General features: G+C 39.9%; 1 protein-coding gene across 7 annotated transcripts in view; it reads left to right on the forward strand.

The window, feature by feature from the left end:
* The window catches only part of COMMD1 (copper metabolism domain containing 1), a 247,668-nt gene that overhangs the window by 91,928 nt on the left and 134,448 nt on the right, over positions 1-21,292 (forward strand). For all 7 annotated transcript variants that reach the window (NM_001371765.2, NM_001321781.3, NM_001321782.3 and 4 more), the window contains exon 2: positions 20,383-20,664. In NM_001371765.2, the coding sequence (NP_001358694.1) occupies positions 20,401-20,664 (264 nt within the window). In that variant the 5' untranslated portion in view covers positions 20,383-20,400. The remainder of the gene's footprint in view (positions 1-20,382; positions 20,665-21,292) is intronic.

The following is a 21,292-nucleotide window of genomic DNA, read 5'->3' on the forward strand; positions in this document are numbered from 1 at the left end:
GCCACACTGACTTCCACAATGGTTGAACTAGTTTACAGTCCCACCAACAGTGTAAAAGTGTTCCTATTTCTCCACATCCTCTCCAGCACCTGTTGTTTCCTGACTTTTTAATGATTGCCATTCTAACTGGTGTGAGATGATATCTCATAGTGGTTTTGATTTGCATTTCTCTGATGGCCAGTGATGATGAGCATTTCTTCATGTGTTTTTTAGCTGCATAAATGTCTTCTTTTGAGAAGTGTCTGTTCATGTCCTTCGCCCACTTTTTGATGGGGTTGTTTGTTTTTTTGTTGTAAATTTGTTTGAGTTCATTGTAGATTCTGGATATTAGCCCTTTGTCAGATGAGTAGGTTGCGAAAATTTTCTCCCATGTTGTAGGTTGCCTGTTCACTCTGATGGTAGTTTCTTTTGCTGTGCAGAAGCTCTTTAGTTTAATTAGATCCCATTTGTCAATTTTGTCTTCTGTTGCCATTGCTTTTGGTGTTTTGGACATGAAGTCCTTGCCCACGCCTATGGATATAAGTCATTTTAACTGGGGTAGGATGATGTCTCACTATAGTTTTGATTTGCATTTCTTTGATGATCAATGATGTTGAGCATCTTTTCATGTATGTTTGCCTTTTTTATTTCTTTTTTTGAGAAATGTCTGTTCAGCTTTTTTTGCCCATTTTAAAATTGGGTTATTAGATTTGTCCTGTAGAGTTGTTTGAGCCCCTTTTATCCTGGTTATTAATCTCTTGTCAGATGGATAGTTTACAAATATTTTCTCCCATTCTGTGGATTGTCTCTTCCCTTTGTTGATGGCTTCCTTTGCTGTGCAGAAGCCTTTTAACTTAATGTGATCCCATTTGTCCACTTTTGCTTTGGTTACCTGTACTTGTGGGGTATTTACTCAAGGAATCTTTGCCCAGTCCAATGGCCTGAAGAGTTTCCCCAATGTTTTCTTGTAGTTTCATAGTTTGAGGTCCTAGATTTAAGTCTCTCATCCATTTTGATTTGATTTTTGTACATGGCGAGAGATAGGGGTCTAGTTTCAGATCTTCTGCATGTTGATATCCAGTTTGCCTAGCACCACTTATTGAAGAGACTGTCTTTTCTCTGTTTTGGCACTTTTGTCGAAAATGAGTTCACTGTACATGGATGGATTTGTTTCTGGGTTCTCTATTCTGTTCCACTGGTCTGTGTGTCTGTTTTTATGCCAGTACCATGTTGTTTTGGTTACTGTATTAGTCCATTTTCACACTGCTGATAAAGACATACCCGAGACTGGAAAGAGAAAGAGGTTTTAATGAACTTACAGTTCCACGTGGCTGGGGAGGCCTCACAGTCATGGCGGAAGGTGAAAGGCACATCTCACATGAAGGTAGACAAGAGAAGAATGAGAGCTTGTGCAGGGAAACTCCTTTATAAAACCATCAGATCTTATGAGATGTATTCACTATTACGAGAACAGCATGGGAAAGACTTGCCCCCATGATTCAATTACCTGCCACTGGGTCCCTCCCACAACCCATGGGAATTCAAGATGAGATTTGGATGGGGACACAGCCAAACCATATCAGTTACTATAGCTCTGTAGTATAATTTGAAGTCAGGTAATGTGATTCCACCAGTTTTGTTCTTTTTGCTCAGGATAGCTTTGGCGATTCTGGGTCTTTTATGGTTCATTATACATTTTAGGATTGTTTTTCTGTTTCTGTGAAGAATGTCATTGGTATTTTGATAGGGATTGCATTGAATCTGTAGATTGCTTTGCATAGTATAGACATTTCAACAATATTGATTCTTCCAATCCATGAACATGGAATATCTTTTCATTTTTTTTGGTGTTACCTTCAATTTCTTTCACTATTGTTTTAAAATAGTTTTCATTATAGAGCGCTTTCACTTCTTTGGTTAAGATAATTCCTAGGTATTTAATTTTATTTGTAGCTGTTGTAAATGGGATTACTTTCTTGATTTCTTTTTCAGATTGTTCACCCTTGGCATATAGAAATACTGCTGATTTTCGTATGTTAATTTTGTATCATGCAACTTTACTGAATGTATCAGTTGTAATGGTTTTTTTGGTAGAGTAGGTTTTTCCAAATACAAGATTATATCATCTGCAAAAAAGAACAGTTTGACTTCTTCCTTTCCAATTTGGATGCCCTTTATTTCTCTCTTGTTTGATTGCTTTAGCTAAGACTTTCAGTATTATGTTGAATAATTGTGGTGTAAGTGGGCATACTTGTGGTGTTCCAGATATTAGAGGAAAGTCTTTTAGTTTTCCTCTATTCAGTACGATACTAGCTATGGATCTGTCATATATGGCTTTTATTATAGTGAGGTATGTTCTTTCTATCCTGTTTGTTTGTGTGTTTTTTCAGTTAGCACTAGCCATCTCATCCCCGGTTTTTTTTGACAGTTTTCATCATGAAGGGATGTTGAATTTTATCAAATGTCTTTTCACCATCAATTGAAATGATCGTATGGTTTTTATCTGTTGATGTGATGTTTCACATTGATTGATTTGTGTATTTTGAACCATCCTAGCATTCCTGGGATAAATCCTACTTGGTCATGATGAATGATCTTAACATATTATTGAATTCGGTTTACTGGTATTTTGTTGAGGATTTTTGCATTAATGTTCATCAGAGATATTGGCATGTAGGTTTCCTTTTTAAAAATTTTTAATGTATCTTTGGTTTTGGTGTCAGGGCAATACTGGCCTTGTAGAATAAATTTGGAAGTATTTTCACCTCCTCAATTTTTTGGAATAGTTTGAGTAGGATTGGTATTAATTCTTCTTTAAATGTTTGATAAAAGTCAGCAGCAAAGCCCTGAGGTCCTGGGCTCTTCTTTGATGGGAGACTTTTTATCATGGCATTTTTTTTTTTTTTTTTTGAGATGGAGTCTCCCTCTGTCGCCCAGGTTGGAGTGCAGTGGCGCAATCTTGGCTTACTGCAACCTCCGCATCCTGGGTTCAAGTGATTCTCCTGCCTCAGCCTCCTGAGTAGTTAGGACTACAGGCACGTGCCACCACGCCTGGCTAATTTTTTTGTATTATTAGTAGAGATGGGGTTTACCGTGTTAGCCAGGATGGTGTCAATCTCCTTGACCTCGTGATCCGACCGCCTCGGCCTCCCAAAGTGCTAGGATTACAAGCATGAGCCACTGCTCCCGGCCTATAATGGCTTTTAATGCATGTTCATCTTGTTACTTGTTATTGGTCTGTTCAGGTTTTGGATTTCTTCATTGTTCAATCTTGGTTGGTTGTATGTGTCTAGGAATTTATCCATTTCTTCTAGATTGTCCAGTTTGTTGGCATATAGTTGTTCATGGTAGCCTCTAATCCTTCAGTTTCTGCGGTATCAGTTGTAATGTTTTCTTTTTTTATCTCTAATTTTATTTATTTGAATCTTGTATTTTCTTAGTTTGGCTAAAGGCTTGTCAATTTTGTTTATCTTTTCAAAAAACCAACTGCATTTTGTTGATCTTTGGTATAGTTTTCTACATTTCAACTTCATTATTTTTGCTCTGATCTTTATTATTTCTTTGCTTCTACTGACTTTGGGTTTGGTTTGCTCTTGTTTTTCTAATTCTTTAAGATGCATCATTATGTTGTTTATTTGAAGTTTTTCCTCTTTTTGACATGGGGACTTATAGCTATAAACTTCTTCCTTAGTACTGCTTTCACTGTAGCCAGTAGGTTTTGGTTTGTTGTTGTTGCTGTTGTTTGAGACAGAGTCTCGCTCTGTCACCCAGGCTGGAGTACAGCGGCATGATCTCGGCTCAACTGCAACCTCTGCCTCCCAGGTTCAAGCGATTCTCCCACCTCAGCCTCCTGAGTGGCTGGGATTACAGGCGTGTGCCACCACACCCAGCTAATTTTTTGTGTTTTTAGTAGAGATGGGGTTTCTCAGTGTTGGCCAGGTTGGTCTCGAACTCCTGACCTCAGGTGATCCACCTGCCTTGGCATCCCAAAGTGTTGGGATTACAGGCATGAGCCACCGCGCTCAACCTGTTGTTTTTCCATTATTGTTTCAATAAATTTTTTAATTTCCTTCTTAATCTCTTTATTGACCATTCAGTAATGGTCATTACAGTACCGTATTGGTCATTCAGCAGCATATTGTTTAATTTCCATATGTTTGCATAGTTTCCAAAATTCTTCTTGTTGCCGATTTCTAGTTGTATTCCATTGTGTTTAAAGAAGATACTTAATATTATTTCAATTTTTTGAATATTTTTTAGACTTGGCTTGTAGCCTAACATATGATCTGTCCTGGAGACTGATTCATGTGCTAAGGAAAAGAGTATGTATTCTGTAGCCATTGGAGGAAATGTTCTGTAAAGTCTATTAGGTCCATTTGGTCTATAGTGCAGATGAAGTTAAATGTTTCTTTGTTGAATTTTGTCTAGATGATCTGTCTAATACTGAAAATGGGATGTTGAAGTCTCCAGCTATTATTGTATTGGGGTCTGTCTCTTTAGCTCTAATAATATTTGCTTTATATATCTGGGTGCTCTAGTGTCAGTGCATATATATTTAAAATTGTTTTATTGTTTTGCTGAATTGGCTCTTTTATCATATAATGACTTTTTTTTTTGGTCTCTTTTGTAGTTTTTATCTTGAAATCCATTTTATCTGATATAAGTATAGCTACTCCTGCTCCTTTTGGTTTCTATTTGCCTGGAATATCTTTTCCTATTCCTTTATTTTTAGTCTATGTGTGTCTTTTTTTTTTTTTTTTTAATTTTTTTTGAGACGGAGTCTCGCTCTGTCGCCCAGGCTGGAGTGCGGTGGCACGATCTCGGCTCACTGCAAGCTCCGCCTCCCAGGTTAATGCCATTCTCCTGCCTCAGCCTCCCGAGTAGCTGGGACTACAGGCGCCCACCACCACGCCTGGCTAATTTTTTGTATTTTTAGTAGAGACGGGGTTTCACCGTGTTAGCCAGGATGGTCTCGATCTCCTGACCTGGTGATCCGCCCGCCTTGGCCTCCCAAAGTGCTGGGATTACAGGCATGAGCCACCGCACCCGGCCCTATGTGTGTCTTTATAGGTGAAGTGTGTTTCTTTTAGGCTACAGATCATTGGATCTTGTTTTTTTATCCATTCAGCCACTCTGTGTCTTTTGATTGGAGAGTTTGGTTCATTTACATTCAATGTTATTATTGATAAGTAAGGACTTACTCCTGCCACTTTGTTATTTGTTTTCTGGTTGTTTTGTGGTCTTCTCTCCCTTCTTTTCTTCCTCCTTGTCTTCTTTTTAGTGCATGTGATTTTATTTGGTGGTATGTTTTAATATCTTTTTATTTTTTCTGTATCCTTTATATCACAGTTTTTAGATTTGAGGTTACCATGAGCTTGCAAATAATATATCCCATTATTTTAAACTGATGACAACTTAACATTGGTAGCATACATAAACAAACAAGCAAAAAGAAAACTAGTAAAAACTCTAACTTTGTCTCCCTGCTTTTTAACTGTTTTTTGTTTCTATTTTATATTTTATTGTACTATGTCTTGAAATGTCATTGTAGTTATTGTTTTTGATCAGTTCATCTTTTAGTCTTTCTACTCACAATATGAGTAGTTCACACACCCCAATACAGTATTAGAATATTCTGTGTTTTTTCATATATCTACTATTACCAGTGAATTTTTTACCTTCAGATGATTTCTTATTGCTCATTAACATCCTTTCCTCTCAGACTGAAGAATTCCCTTTAGCATTTCTTGTAGGACAGGTCTGGTGTTGATGAAATCCCACAGCTTTTGATTGGGAAAATCTATTTCCTCTTCATGTTTGATGGATATTTTCTCCAGATTACTATTCTGGTATAAAGTTTTTTTTTTTTTCCTTCAGCACTTTAAATATGTCATGCCAATCTCACCTGGCATGAGATTATAAGGGTTCCACTGAAAAGCCTGCTGCCAGATGAATTGGAGCTCCATTGCATGTTATTTGTTTCTTTTCTCTTGCTACTTTTAGGATCCTTTCTTTATTCTTGACTTTCAGGAGTGTAATTATTAAATGCCTTGAGACAGTCTTCTTTGCATTAAATCTGTTTGATGTTCTGTAACCTTCTTGTTCTTGAATAATGATGTCTTTCTCTAGGTTGGGGATGTTCTGTGCTGTTATCCCTTTGAATAAACTTTCTACACCTGTGTCTCTGTTTACCTTATCTTTAAGGCCAATAACTCTTAGAGAAGCCCTTTTGAGGCTGTTTTCTAAATAATCTCGTAGGCATCATTCTTTTTTTTTTTTTTTTTTTTTGGAGTCAGAGTCTTGCTCTGCTGCCCAGGCTGGAGTGCAGTGGCATGATCTCAGCTTGCTGCAACCTCTGCCTCCTGGGTTCAAGGAATTCTCATGCTTCAGCCTCCCAAATAGCTGGGACTGCAGGCAAGCGCCACCATGCCTGGCTAATTTTTGTATTTTTATTAGAGACCAGGTTTTGCCATGTTGCCCAGGCTGGTCTTGAACTCCAGAGCTCAGGCAATCTGCCTGCCTTGGCCTCCCAAAGTGCTAGGATTACAGGTATGAGCCCCTGTGCCCAGCCTCTTTTTCTTTTTTGTTTCCTTTGACTGTGTGTTTTCAAATAGCCTGTCTTCAAGCTCACTAATTCTTTCTTTTGCTTGATCAAGTCTGCTTTTAAGATACTCTGATCCATTCTTCATTATGTCAATTGCATTTTTCAGCTCCAGAATTTCCTTTTGCTTCTTCTTAATTATTTCCATTTTGTTGTTAAATTCATCTGAAAGATTCTGAATTCCTTCTCTATGTTCTCTTGAATTTCTTCAAGTTTTCCCAAAACAGCTATTTTGAATTTTCTGTCTGAAGGATCACATATCTCTGCCTTTCTTTGATTGTTCCCCGGAGCTTTATTTAGTTCATTTTGGGAGCTCACGTTTTCCTGGATGGTCTCGATGCTTGTGGATTCTCGTTAGTGTCTAGGCATTAAAGAATTAGATGCTTATTATAGTCTTCACCATCTAGTACATCTTGTTTTTACTCATCCTCTTTGGGAAGGCTTTCCAGGTATTTGAAAGGATGGGGGTGTTGTGATCTAAGTTGTATCTGCATTAAAGGGCACCCCAAGTCCAACATCATTGAAGTTCTTGCAGACTTGTAGAGGTACCACCTTGGTGGTCTTGGATAAGATCTGGAAGAATTCTTTCTATTGCCAGGCAGAGACTCTTGTTCTCTTCCCTTTTTCCCAAATAAACAGAGTCACTTTCTCTGTGCTGGACTACCTGGAGCTGAGGGACGGGTGACACAAGGACCCCTGTGGCCACTACCACTGGCACTGTGCTGGATCAGACCTGAAGTCAGCATGGTACTGGGTCTTGCCCAAGGCCCACTGTAACCACTACCTGGCTACCGCTCAAGGCCTAGGACTCTACAATCAGCAGATGGTGAAGCCAGTCAGGCTTGTGACCTTCCATTCAGGGGATTGAGTTCTCCTGAGCCCTAGTAGTTTTAGAGATGCTGTCTGGGAGCCAGGGCCTGGTTTGTAAACCTTAGGAATCTACCTGGTCCTCTGTTCTGCTGTAGCTAAGCTGGCACCGAAACCACAAGACAAAGTCTTTCCCACTCTTTCCTCCCCTTCTCCCAGGCAGGAGAGCCTCTGCCTGTATCTGCCACCATCAAAGGCCCATAGGAAGTATTGCCAATGTTCACTTAAGTCCTAAGGGCTTTTCAGTCAGCTTGTGGTGAATGCTTCCAAATCTGCAACTCACCCTTCCTGGCATTGGGCTCCTTTCTGGGCCAGGATAGGTCCAAAAATGTCATCTAAGAGCCAAGGCCTGAAATTGAGGCTCCAGAGTCTGTTTGGTGCTCTTCCCCACTGTGGTAGAGCTGGTACCTAAGCTGGAAGATAAAGTCCCCTTTATTTTTCCTTCTACTTTTTTCAAGCAGGAGTCTCTCCCCATAACCACATAGGTAGGAATGTGGTAGGTCACACCTGAAGCCAGCATGTTTCATAGTCTCACTCAAGGCCCACAGCATGTTCTACCTGGTTACCACTGCTGATTATTCAGGGCTGAAAGGCCCTTTAGTCAGGAGGTGATGAATCCCGCCAGCAGTGGATCCTTCCCTTCATAGCAACTGGTTCCCATCTGGCCCAGGGTTTGTCTAGAAATGTTGTCCAGGAGCTAGGGCCTGGAATGGGGGCCTCATGACTCTCCTTGGTGCACTGTCTTACTTTGGCTGAGCTGGTGTCCAAGTTGCATAACAAAGTCTTCTCTACTGTTTTCTCTCCTCTCAAGTTGAAGGAAGGAGTCTCTTTTGGAGCTGTGAGCTGTGCTGCCTGGGGTTGGTGGAGGGGTGATGCAGGCACTCCCTTAGCTACCCCAGCTGGTGACTCACTATGTCATGTGTCCCCTGAGTCCGCTGGCTCTGATCCTAGCACAGCTTTTAGACTTTCCTGTAAGTTTCAGTCCTTGTGGCCTAGAGTGCCTTTTGTTTATTGAGGACCCCACAGCTCTTTAGCTTTCTGTGGTGAGGCTTGCCGAACTCAAGTTCTGGCTTCTGAGATGAGCAATCCCACTTTGGCTAGAGCTGATCTAAATGTTCCCTCTGTGGACATTGGCTGAGTTCTGCCTGGTGTTGGCAGCACCAAGTTCCAATGTAAAGTCCCACAATTGCTGCACTCTCCCTCTCCCAAACACACAGATTCTCTCTACTTGGCTGCTGCTAGCGGATGGGGGAAGGGTGGTGTCGGAAATTAAAGGGCCTTTCCTACCCACTTCAGTTTGTTTTTCTGCAGTATGAAGTTAAAACCAGGTATTGTGATCACTCACCTGATTTTTGGTTCTTGTGAAAGTGCTTTTTTATGTAGGTGTCATATTTGGTGTTCTGACAGGGAGGAAGATTGGTAGAGGCTTCTGTTTGGCCATCTTGCTCTGCCTCCCAGGGCCTAGATGGTAATTTGTTAAACAATGGATGAACCAAAATTGGCACATGATTACTATCCAAAGTCTGTAATTTATCTTAGGGTTCACGCTTGATATTGTAACTTCTATGGGTTTTGACGTGTATAATGACATGCATCTGGCATATAGTATCATGCAGATTGGTTTCAATGTCCAAAAATCTCTGGGATCCACCTATTAATCCCTCCATTCCCTCGCCCCCAAACCCTGGCAAATATTGATTTTTTTTTTTTTTTTTGAGACAGAGTTTCACTCGGTCGCCCAGGCTGGAGTGCAGTTGCACAATCTGGGCTCACTGCAACCTCCACCTCCTGGGTTCAAGCAATTCTGCCTCAGCCTCCCAAGTAGCTGGGATTACAGGCATGTGCCACCATGCCTGGCTAATTTTTTGTGTGTTTTTTTAATAGAGTTGGGTTTCACCATGTTGGCCAGCAGGTCTCGAAACTCCCAACCTCAAGTGATCCGCCCACGTCGGCCTCCCAAAGTGCTGGGATTACAGGAGTGAGCCACCACACCCAGGCAACTATTGATCTTTTCACTGTATTCCATAGTTTTGCTTTCCCTTCAACATGTGTTTGTAGAGCGCCTACTGTGTTCCAGTTTTGCAGACCTTGGGGATTAAATATTAAGTAAGAAGCAGTGGCCTTTGGAGCAAGATATAGGCCTGGCAGTTACCCTGCATTTTAATAAATACCACTAGTTTACTAGGCAGTCTAGAAAGACCCCCGTCCCAGATTTGGGAGTTAAGGAAAGACTTCATGGAAAAAGTTAGATCTACATCGAAGCCTGAAGAAAGAGGTGGTATCAACAAGGTAAGGCGATAAAGGAATAGCAACTAAGATTTTCTAGGCAGAGAGAATAGCCTAGGCAAAAGCCAAGAGGATAGAGATAGAATATACACTTAAGAGCTAAAAGGAGCTCAAAAGCAATGGTAGGAAGAACAAATGATTGGAAGATTGTAAGAGGTAGGGGGATATGAAGAGAAATGAAGCTAGAGAAGGGGAGAAGTTTCCTGACTGTGATTTGCCTTGTAAGCCATATTGAAGACTTAGAATTTAAATCTAGAGGTCAGAGAAGTTCTTATAGATTTTTTTCTTTAATTAAGCTTTGTATTTAGAGATAATTATAGTTTGACATAGAGTTGCAAGAAATAATTCAGAGAGACTGGGCACACTGCCTGACACCTGTAATCCCAGCATTTTGGGAGGCTGAGGCGGAAGGACTGCTTTGAGTCCAGGAGTTCAAGACCAGCCTGGGCAACATAGTGAGCCCCTATGGATTAGTCAATTTTCATGCTGCTGATAAAGACATAGCCGAGACTGGGCAATTTACAAAAGAAAGAGGTTTATTTGACTTACAGTTCCATGTGGCCGGAGAGGCCTCACAATCATGGTGGAAGGTGAAAGTCATGTCTCACATGGTGGCAGACAAGAGAAGAGTTTGTGCAGGGAAACTCCCATTTTTAAAACCATCAAATCTTGTGAGACTTATTCACTATCGTGGCATGGGAAAGACCCGCCCCCATGAATCAGTTATCTCCTGGTGGGTCCCTCTCACAACATATGGGAATTATGGGAGCTACAAGATGAGATTTAGGTGGGGACACAAAGCCAAACCATATCACTCTGTCTTTACAAAAAAAAAAAAAAATATATATATATACACACACACACACACACACACACACACACACACACATAATGCCAGGCATGGTGGTGCATGCTTGTAGTCCCAGCTACTCAGAAGACTGAGGTGGAAGGATTGCTTGAGCCCAGGAGGACAAGGCTGTAGTGAGCCGTGATTGTGCCACTGCACTCCAGCTGGGTGAGAGAGGAAGATCCTGTCTCAAAAGAAAAAAAAAAGTGATGAATTACATTTTCATTTTTCATTCAAATTCTTTTTTTTCTTTAGTATCGTAGCCTAATTTTTAAATTTGTTTTGGCTCTGAGCCCCTTGCTAATTTGCTAGGCTAGATTAGGCAAACAGAAATCAGCACCCTGAATTATTTTCTACTCTTATCTTAAAGAAGTTTATGGTTTGTGAATGTGTGTGAGAGAATTTTATAAAGCAAGAAGTTGGTAGCTTTAAAGAATTCTGGACTTAATGTTGATCTGCAACATTTAGAATTTTTTATTTGAAATGTTATTGATACAGTATGAATGCTTGTTGGAATATGAATTCTACTTCAAGGTGTTAGATGATGTATTTGCAGAGATACATAGACCCTGCTCTCAAAGTTTAGACTCTGTTGGGTCAAATAGACTTTTTGACATAATTTCATTTCATTGAGGTAAGTGCAGGGATAGAGATATTAGGGCATTTTTGGAAGAGAAAGGGGCACTTACCTTACTAGGAGAGGAGGAGTATTGGGGAAGCCATACTTGAACTGAGTCTTGAATGGTGAATAGAAATTAATCTGTTGAAGGTGATGATAAGACATTTCAGAACATTTAGAATAGCACGAACAGAGACACATAGAAGAAGCATCATATTGGGATTGCTAGTTGGGGAATTACAAACAGGTTAGTGCTGTTTGAGTGTCAAGTGCGGGAGGCAGGAAGTTGTAAGACACTAAAAGATAAGCAGGGCCTGTTGTGTTGAGTTTGAACTTCATGCTCAGTGATTCTCAAACATATCCAGCCCAGTGTTTCTTTTTTTGTAGTAAATATTTTCTAATGCTCCTTTATGATCCTTAAAAGGAATTCTTATAATTCACATATAATAAAATTAAAACATAATTTCTAATATGATGTCATAAATGTAGTACAAAGGAAAAGTATAAGAAATCTAAACATGATTTGAAATATATATTTTAAAATATAAATGCTTAAGCATTATATCATTAGAACACATAATGAATTAATCAGATGCTTGTACCTATACATGGTATTACTGTGAATGCACAGCAACAAATGCAGGTATATAAAATGTGTTGTATTGGTAGGTAAGATATTTTAAATGGTATTGTCACTGGTAATGAGATTTTTCAAAATACTTAACATCCTATTTGTAAAGTTCTGACCAAGTCAAAGTACAAGTTGTATTAATTGCATTCCTGGAAAACTTGGTGTTTATTAAAACCGTGAAAAAATACTTTTTTATGTAAAACAAAATACTTAATTTTTAGGCTGAAGTAATTATAAACAGGTTTTTCCACACAATGTCAGATGGGACATTGCAAAGTCATGTGAGACACAGGTCTTTTTGTCCTGTGGGATGTTCTTGGTCAGGGGTCTGCAAACATCAGCCCACAGGTGGTCACACTGCCTGTATTTATATAGCCCATGAGCTAAAAATGGTTTTTACATTTTTAAAGAGTTGTACGAAAAAGGGAAGAATATGCAGCAGAGGGTTACAACTTTTACAGAAAACTTGCCAACTCCCGTTTCTTGGGTATTGAAGGATGCCGAACATCCCTAGCTCATGCTCACTTAATGCGAACAGCACTCCCTCCAATCACTGTGAAACCAAATGTAGCCTCCACCATTTCTCAGGTGCCTTTGGGAGGGCAATACTACCTGGTTGAGAACCACTGTTTTGGTTTATCAGTTTTCAAATTTTTATTCCTCTGCGACACATTTAACAGATAGTAATACATGCATAATATAGTTCTATGCAGAGTTCCTGTGTTTTTAATTTTCTTTTTTTCTTCCATTCAAGTAAACAATTAAAATGAGGGAGGTAATTGTTTAATATAAGGATACTTTGAAAACCCTCTGATTTATACTTATAAAAATCTTTACAAACATTAATACTTGTACTACTACTACTGCTAACTATATTATGTACAACTTACCTTATACCTCATAGGAGAGTGCTTCACACCATCCTGCCTGACCACCACTGAAGCAAGTAATAGTCAGCCATGGGATAACTTTAAACAAGCAAGTGCCAGCATCCTATATTTATATTATAGATAGATCACTTTGATAGTGGTATAGAAGATAGACTTGAGGGAGTCCACACTTAGTTTAGGTTCAAGATAGTGAGGGCTTCTACCAGCTAGTAGGGACAGATCAGAGGGGACATATTATTAGAGAATTATTTCAGATGTAACAATCAGTAGAACTTGACAACTGAAAGTTACAGGCATTTGTTTTTCTTTTTCTTTTCGAACTCATTTTACTGCCAGAGGCATTTGTTTTTAACACTTTGTTGCCTGCCAGAATCACTTTGGAAGCTTTTTAACAATACCAGTGCCTAGGCTTTACTCCATAATTCCTGGAAATCAGAATTTCTGGGATAATAGCTGGGCGCTGATATTTTAAAATTGTACTTCAGGATTCTAATGTGCAGCCAGTGTTGAAAACCACTGATTCAAGATGTGGAAGAGAGAGAAGAATAAAGGATGAGTACCAGGCTGTCAGCCTAGGCTGCCAGTAGATGGAAGTAGTGTGCTGTGAACAGTATCTGTTTTATGGTAGCTATTCAAATATTTCTTAAGTGAAAATTGATGACTTTGAACCTAAACCAAAATCAATTTCTCATTTAATTTTTGATTGTTCTAAATTTGGATGAATTGACCCTAGTTCAAGATATTATTGACTGGAACCCAACCAAAATAACTTTTGTCACAGATGAAATTATATCAGAATGGATATCTCTTGATATTATTTGAGAAGAAGAATGATACAAATTACCTGAGTTGTGACATAATATTGTGAAGCAAGGTGTCAGTGGAAATAATTTGACTTAATTATAGTATATTATACAAAATAATTCCTTCCTTCCTTCCTTCCTTCTTTCCTTCTTTCTTTCTTTCTTGGCGGAGTCTCGCTCTGTCACCCAGGCTGAAGTGCAGTGGCGCAATCTTGGCTCACTGCAACCTTCGCCTCCCGGGTTCAAGCGATTCTCCTGCATCGGCCTCTCGAGTAGGTGGGATTACAGGCACCTGCCACCACCCCCGGCTAATTTTTGTATTGTTAGTGGAGATGGGATTTCTCCATGTTGGTCAGTCTGGTCATGAACTCCTGACCTCAGATGACCTGCCCACCTCAGCCTCCCAAAGTGCTGGATTACAGGTGTGAGCCACCACGCCCAGCCTGTATTTGTATTGATTGGCATAGCCAGAGGTTTGGGGTCCTGCTATCTGGTAAATAGGCAGATATTCAGTAAATGTTTATTGAATTGTAATGTGAAATATCTTTAATGTACCAGAAAGTTGTAATATTTACCATATAATTTTTTATATTAATGAAGAAATGAAAGACAGCTTGTTTTTCTTTCAGCTCCAGTCTCACTTGCTCTGCCTGTGTTCTACTTGGTGTTGTTACCTTTACATTCTTCTGTTCCCACTGCCACCACCCTCTTTTAGTCAAGACTCTTGGTTCCAAATGATAGGAATACAGCTTAAATTGAATAGTTGATGGAATTTTGGGTTGTCTGTAGGAAGGATGCTGAGATAGCATTATAGAATTGCAGGAAGGCCTGCAGGAACTAGGGTCTTGGGAACTATAAAACAGGGATATCACCCCATTAAAATCCACTCTCACTTCATTCTATTTTCTTGCAGACATGCTTTTGCCAAAAGGTCCAAGAAAATGCTGTCTGTAACTCCAGCCTCATGTCCTTCTTATACTATGACCCAAAAAGACAAGATCATTTCTCCTGCCCTAAATTGGGACCAGTCAGTGCGCCCAGAGAAAGGAGGATATTGTGATCTGTCTGGTTTGGAGCTTATGCCAGTCCCCATGGCCACTAGCAGATAGGGGCATAGCAAAGAAGAGGCAAGGGGAGGCTTACCCTGGGGACTAAGTTATTAACTGCTGCTGTCCTCTCCTAGGCTCCATTGCCCTAGCCCTCTGAAAATTTTTCACTTCAGTCCAACTACTTACTGTTATCAGATTCAGCTTAAAATTTTTTTTTCATTAAAAACATTTTTAAAAGAGAGACAGGGTTTTGCTGTGTTTTCCAGGCTGGTCATTGTCAACCTCCAGGGCTTGAACAATACTCCTGCCTCAGCCTCTGGAGTAGCTGGGACTGCAGGCGTGTGACACCACACTGGCCAGATTCAGCGTTCTAAACCACACGTTGCATCATGATTTCCCAGTTACCTAGCCTTTAGTGGCCCCTCATTACGTATATATAACAATGTCTAAACTTGATGTACTTTAATCTGGCTCCAGACTGCCTTCTCAATCTTATCTCTCAGTTTTTCTATTCACTGTTAAACTGAGCTAGTTGGCCTTCTAAGTTCTGAGAACACTTACATATTCCTCACTCAGTCATCTAAACTTTAAGTAAAAAATTTGTGGTAATACTCTTCAAATCATTGTTTGATGTCTCAGGATCTCTGAAGGCCAGCAACTGAAGCATTGTAGCTACTCATTAGGGACTGGCATCTCTGTATCATTGTTGACAGAATGTACCAGTTTACATTTTTTTCAGTGGTAGTGATACCGAGTCTACTTCTCTGTGTAGTCACTTGTGACAGCTAATCAGAGGGAAACCTGGCTTAACTGTTGAGGCTTTGGCCCTGCACTTATCTCATGGTGCTTTCAGAAAAATCAGTTGACTGCTTGAAGCTTCAGTTTCCTTTTCTGTAAGTTGAGAGTGAAGAGCACTATAATACTATCATCTACCTCATTGCCTTTGAAAATTGATTATGAGGGTCAAGTGCAGTAATACAGACATACCTCGGAAATACCTTGGGTTTGGTTCCAGGTGGCCACAATAAAGTGAATAATGCAATTAAGCGAGTCACATGAATTTTTTTGTTTCCTAGTGCATTAAAGTTGTGTTTATACTATACCATACCATATCATACTACACTATATTAAGTGTGTAAGAACACTGTGTCTTTAAAAGCAGTATACATACTTTAATTAAGGGATACTTTATTACTATTCAAGAGGCTGAAGTCAGAGGATTACTTGAGCCCAGGAGTTTGAGGCTGCAGTGAGCTATGGTTGTGCTCCTGCACTCCAGCCTGAGTAACAGAGACCCCATCTCCCAAAAAAAACCTAAAAACTTTATTGCTAAAAAATGCTAATGATTACCTGAGCCTTCATCTAGTCATATTCTTTTTGCTGGTGGAGGGTCTTGCCTTGATGTCTTGTTTTTGTTTTCTAAATGTGTGTGTGTGTGTGTGTGTGTGTGTGTGTGTGTGTGTGTGTCAGAAGTGGGATTTGAATTGCCTTGATGTCAGTGGCTGCTTACTGATCAGAGTGGTGATTGCTGAAAGTTGGGGTGGCTGTGGCAATTTCTTAAATAACACAACAATGAGATTGTTGCATCCGTGGACTCTCCCTTTCATGAAAGATTTCTCTGTAGCATGTGATGCTGTTTGATAGCATTTTACCCACAGTAGAACCTCTTTCCAAATTGGAGTCAGTTCTCTCCAACCCTGCTGCTGCTTTATCAACTAAGTTTCTGTAATGTTCTAAGTCCTTTGTTGTCACTTCAACAATGTTCACAACATCTTTACTAGGACTAGATACCAAGAAACCACTTTGTTTACTCCTCCATAAGGAGTAACTTCTTATCCATTCAAGTTTGATCATAAGATTGCAGCAATTCAATCACATCTTCAGATTTCACTTCTAATTCTTGTTCTCTTGCTGTTTTCACCACATATGCAGTTACTTCCTCCACTGAAATCTTGGACTCCTCGAAGTCATCCATGAGGGATGGAATCAACTTCTTCCAAACTCCCTTTAATGTGGATATTTTGACATTCTTCTATGAATCGTGAATGTTCTTAATGGCACTTAGAATGGTGAATCCTTTCCTGAAGGTTTTCAGTTTATTCTGCCTGGATCCATTAGAGTAATCACTGTCTATGGCAGCTATAGCCTTACAAAATGTATTTCTTTCTTTTTTTTTTTTTTTCTTTTTAGACAGGGTCTTGCTGTGTCACCCAGGCAGGAGTGCAATGGTGCCATCTTGGCTTATGCAGCCTTGACCCCCTGTGTTCACAGTGATCCTCCCACCTCAGCCTTCTAAGTAGCTGGGACCACAGATGCGTACTACCCCGCTTGGCTAGTTTTTTTGTATTTTTTGTAAAAACGTGGTCTTGCCATGTTGCCCAGAATGGTCTTGAACTCCCAGGCTCAAGCAATCTGCCCACCTCGGCCTCCCAAGTGCTGAGATTATAGGCTTGAGCCACTATGCCTGGTCACAAAATGTATTTCTTAAAAAAAAAAAAGACTTTACGGTCAAAATTACTTCTTGATCCGTGGTCTGCAGAATGAATGCTGTGTTAGCAGTCATGAAAATAACATCTCCTTGTACGTCTCCATCAGAGCTCTTGAGTGACTACGTGCATTGTTAGTGAGTAGTAATATTCTGAAAGGAATCTTTTTTCTGAGCAGTAGTTTTACGTAAAATATTAAGCGCACTGTGAATATTTTAAATTCAGCTGAGTATTTTAAATTCAGCAGGCCATGCTGTAAACAGATATGCTGTTTAGGCTTTGTTGTTCCATTTATAGAGCACGGGCAGAGTAGATTTAACATCATTCTTAAGGGCCCTAGAGTTTTCTGAATGGTAAATGAGCATTGGCTTCAACTTCAAGTCACCAGCTGCGTTAGCCCCTAACAAGAGAGTCAGCCTGTCCTTTGAAGCTAGGCATTGACTTCTCTCTAGCTGTGAAAGTCCTATTTTATGAGAACTCACAAACAAAAAATAAAGTCCTAGATGGTATCTTTTTCCGATATATGGCTATTTCATCTATATTGAAAACCTTTTGTTTAGTGTAACCACGTTCATCAAATAGCTAGATTTTCTGGATAACTTGCTGCAGCTCATACGTCAGCACTTGCTGCTTCATCTTGTGCTTTTGTGTTAATGGAGACAACTTCTTTCTTTAAACCTCATGAACCAACCTTGCTTCAAACTTTTCTTCTGTAAACTTTCTCACCTCTCTCAACCTACATATAATTAAAGAAAGTTAGGGCCTTGCCCTCGATTAGGTTTTGGCTTATGGGAATGTGGTGGCTGGTTTGATCTTTTGTCCAGACCACCAAAACCTTCTCCATATCAGCAATAAGGCTGTTGTGCTTTCTTTTTTTTTTTTTTTTTTTTGTTTGAGAGAGAGTCTCACTCTGTCCTCCAGGCTGAGGCTGGAAGTGCAGTCGTACTATCTTGGCTCACTGCAACCTCTGCCTCCTGGATTCATGCATTTCTCCTGCCTCAGCCTCCTGAGTAGTTGGGATTACAGGCGTGCGCCACTACGCCCAGCTAATTTTTGTATTTTTAGTAGAGACAGGGTTTCACCATGTTGTCCAGGCTGGTCTCGAACTCCGGACCTCAAGTGATCTGCCCAATTCGGCCTCCCAAAGTGCTGGGATTACAGGCGTGAACCACTGCGCCCGGCTGTGTTTTGCTTTCTTGTCATTTGTGTGTGCACTGGAGTAGCACTTTTAATTTCTTTGAAGAACTTCTCCTTGGCGTTCACAACTTGGCTAGCTGTCTGGCACAGGAGGCCTAGCTTTCAGCCTATCTTGGCTTCCTCTCTAAGCTTAAACATTTCTAGCTTTTGATTTAAAATCAGATATGTGTGACTTTTTCACTTGAATACTTAGAGGCCATCGTAGGGTTATTAGTTGGCCTAATTTCAATATTGTGTGTCTCAGGTCATAGGGAGGCCTGCAGAGAGGGAAAGAGAAGGAATGGCCAGTGGTTGGAGCAGTCAGAACACAAGACATTTATCAATTAGTTAGTTTATCTGTCTTCTATGGGCATGTTTCATGGCGCCCTGAAAGAATTCCACTAGTAACATTGAAGATCTCTGATCACAGATCACCATAACAGATATAAATAATAGTGAAAAAGTTTGAAATATGAGAATTTTCAAAATGTGACACAGAGACACAAGGTGAGCATATGCTATTTGAAAAATGGCACCAATAGACTTGCTTAATATAGGGTTGCCACAGACCTTCAATTTGTAAAAAATGCAGTATCTGTGAATTATAATAAAGTGAAGTGCAATAAAGTGATGCACAATAAAATGAAGTATGCCTGTAGATGTGAAAATGCTATGGTATGCTAAAGATTACTGTGCAAATTTAAGGCATGTTACTATGCTTGAGCTTATATTTAGTTACTGTGTCTTCTTGGATGCTGGAATAGAGAACCCAGATTCAATGGCAATTAACTTTTGAAAATTTATGGGAAAGTATAAAGTAGTATATAATTTCACAGTAGTATTATTGTGAATGAGCTGTTTGGCTGAAGATGGGCTTCAAAGCTAAGATAAATACATTCACTTAACAATAATTTACTTAGTGCATCACATGGATAAGGCATTATACAGTTGAAGTATATCAAACCAAGCCTGGCTATAAGGCATTGTGAAATTATGTAAGATTTTATCAAACAACCAATTAATTTTATTCTTTTGTTTTATTGTTATTATTATTATTTTAGAGACAGGGTCTTGCTGTGTTGCCCAGGCTGGACTCGAACTCCTGGGCTCCAGCTGTCCTCCTGCCTCAGCTTCCCAAGTAGCTGGGACTACAGGCACACACCACCACACCTGGCTTGTTTTATTACTTCAAAAAAAATTTCATTTTATCTCCCCGCCATAGAACTGGATATTTAAAAATTATATTCTAGTTATTGATACCGAATTGAGTGACATGGAATTTTTAACAGTAGCTTTTCTGATATTTGATGTTTCCAAAGGGAGTATTTTTGTTATAAAGAGCTTATTCTCATTACTGTCTGCCCCCTCCCCCACCCACTTTTTTTTTTTTGAGTGCAGTCTTGCTCTGTCGCTCAGGCTGGAGTATAGTGGTGTGATCTGAGCTACTGCTACCTCTGCCTCCCGGGTTCAAGCGATTCTCCTGCCTCAGCCTCCCGAGTAGCTGGGACTACAGGTGTGCGCAACTACACCCGGCCAATTTTGTATTTTTAGTGGAAAAACAGGGTTTCACCATTTTGGCCAGGTTGGTCTCAAATTTCTGACCTCAAGCAATCTGCCCACCTCAGCTTTGCAAAGTGCTGGGATTACAGGTGTGAGCCACTGTACCTGGCCTCTTTACTGTCCCTTGATGACCTTTTATTAAAATTTATTTCAGTGAATTTTTTTTTTTTTTTTTTTTGAGACAGGGTCTCTCTCTGTCACCCAGGCTGGAGTGCAGTGGCGCAATTTTGGCTCACTGCAGTCCCTGCCTCCCGGTTGAAGCGATTCTTGTGTCTCAGCCTCCTGAGTAGCTGAGATTACTGAGATTGCTGTTATTGCATATATACCACGCACAACCATGCCTGGCTAATTTTTGTAGTTTTAGTAGAGACAGGGTTTCACCATGTTGGCCAGTTTGGTCTCTAACTCCTAACCTCAAGTGATCTCACCTCTGCCTCCCAAAGTGCTGAGATTACAGGTGTGAGCCATTGTGTCTGGGCTATTTCAGTGATTTAAGAGTCACTCAAAATATAATCTGTAGTTAAGAAGCTATCTTTTTCTAATTACCTATTTAATTCAAATTTTTTGCTTTTTCTGTCATCTTTATAGTCTATTGCGTCTGCAGACATGGATTTCAACCAGCTGGAGGCATTCTTGACTGCTCAAACCAAAAAGCAAGGTGGGATCACATCTGACCAAGCTGCTGTCATTTCCAAATTCTGGAAGAGCCACAAGACAAAAATCCGTGAGAGCCTCATGAACCAGAGCCGCTGGAATAGCGGGCTTCGGGGCCTGAGCTGGAGAGTTGATGGCAAGTCTCAGTCAAGGCACTCAGCTCAAATACACACACCTGTTGCCATTATAGAGCTGGAATTAGGCAAATATGGACAGGTGAGTTAAACTTAAGTCAATTTTCCTTTGTAAACTGTATTTTTCACTACATGTTAGCTTGTCTATTCAGCTTGATTTTATGCAATAACAGCAACAGGAAAAGACACTGTTTCCTAGAATCCTTTTTCAGAGGTAGAATCATCTGAAAATTTGGATACTCTCACTTGTGGACAGAGTCTGGAAACTAGCCTCAGGGTCCTGGCAGCTGTCTCAGAAGAACAGAATGGGCCAATAATGTGATTGCTCAGAAGCTGACCACTACTGCATTTGGTTAGATCTCAAAATCCTTGGCATTTGTTCAGAATTTCCAAGGCAATGATAGAGATAATAAATAAAGACCAAGAATTTGGATTAAACAACACAATCTCATCCAGTCATCTTTAATAATCAGTCAGGTATAGGAGGCAGTGTATCTTAATTTACATTAATACATTGTTCGTAAAGACCCCTAAATGTGCTATCTCTGTCCTTGAGGTCACAAATAATTCTCAGTTTAATCTTATGTACAGTGCTTCTTTTCCCAACAGTTACAGCAGTCATTATAGCAGATAATTTTAATGTCTATATGGTTTTTCTTGAAGTCATTCACTTTGTGTTCCAGATGACTGCCAGCTCAGACTTTTAATGA

The sequence above is a fragment of the Homo sapiens genome, chromosome 2 (assembly GCF_000001405.40).
Source record: "Homo sapiens chromosome 2, GRCh38.p14 Primary Assembly".
Taxonomy (NCBI): Eukaryota; Metazoa; Chordata; class Mammalia; order Primates; family Hominidae; genus Homo; species Homo sapiens.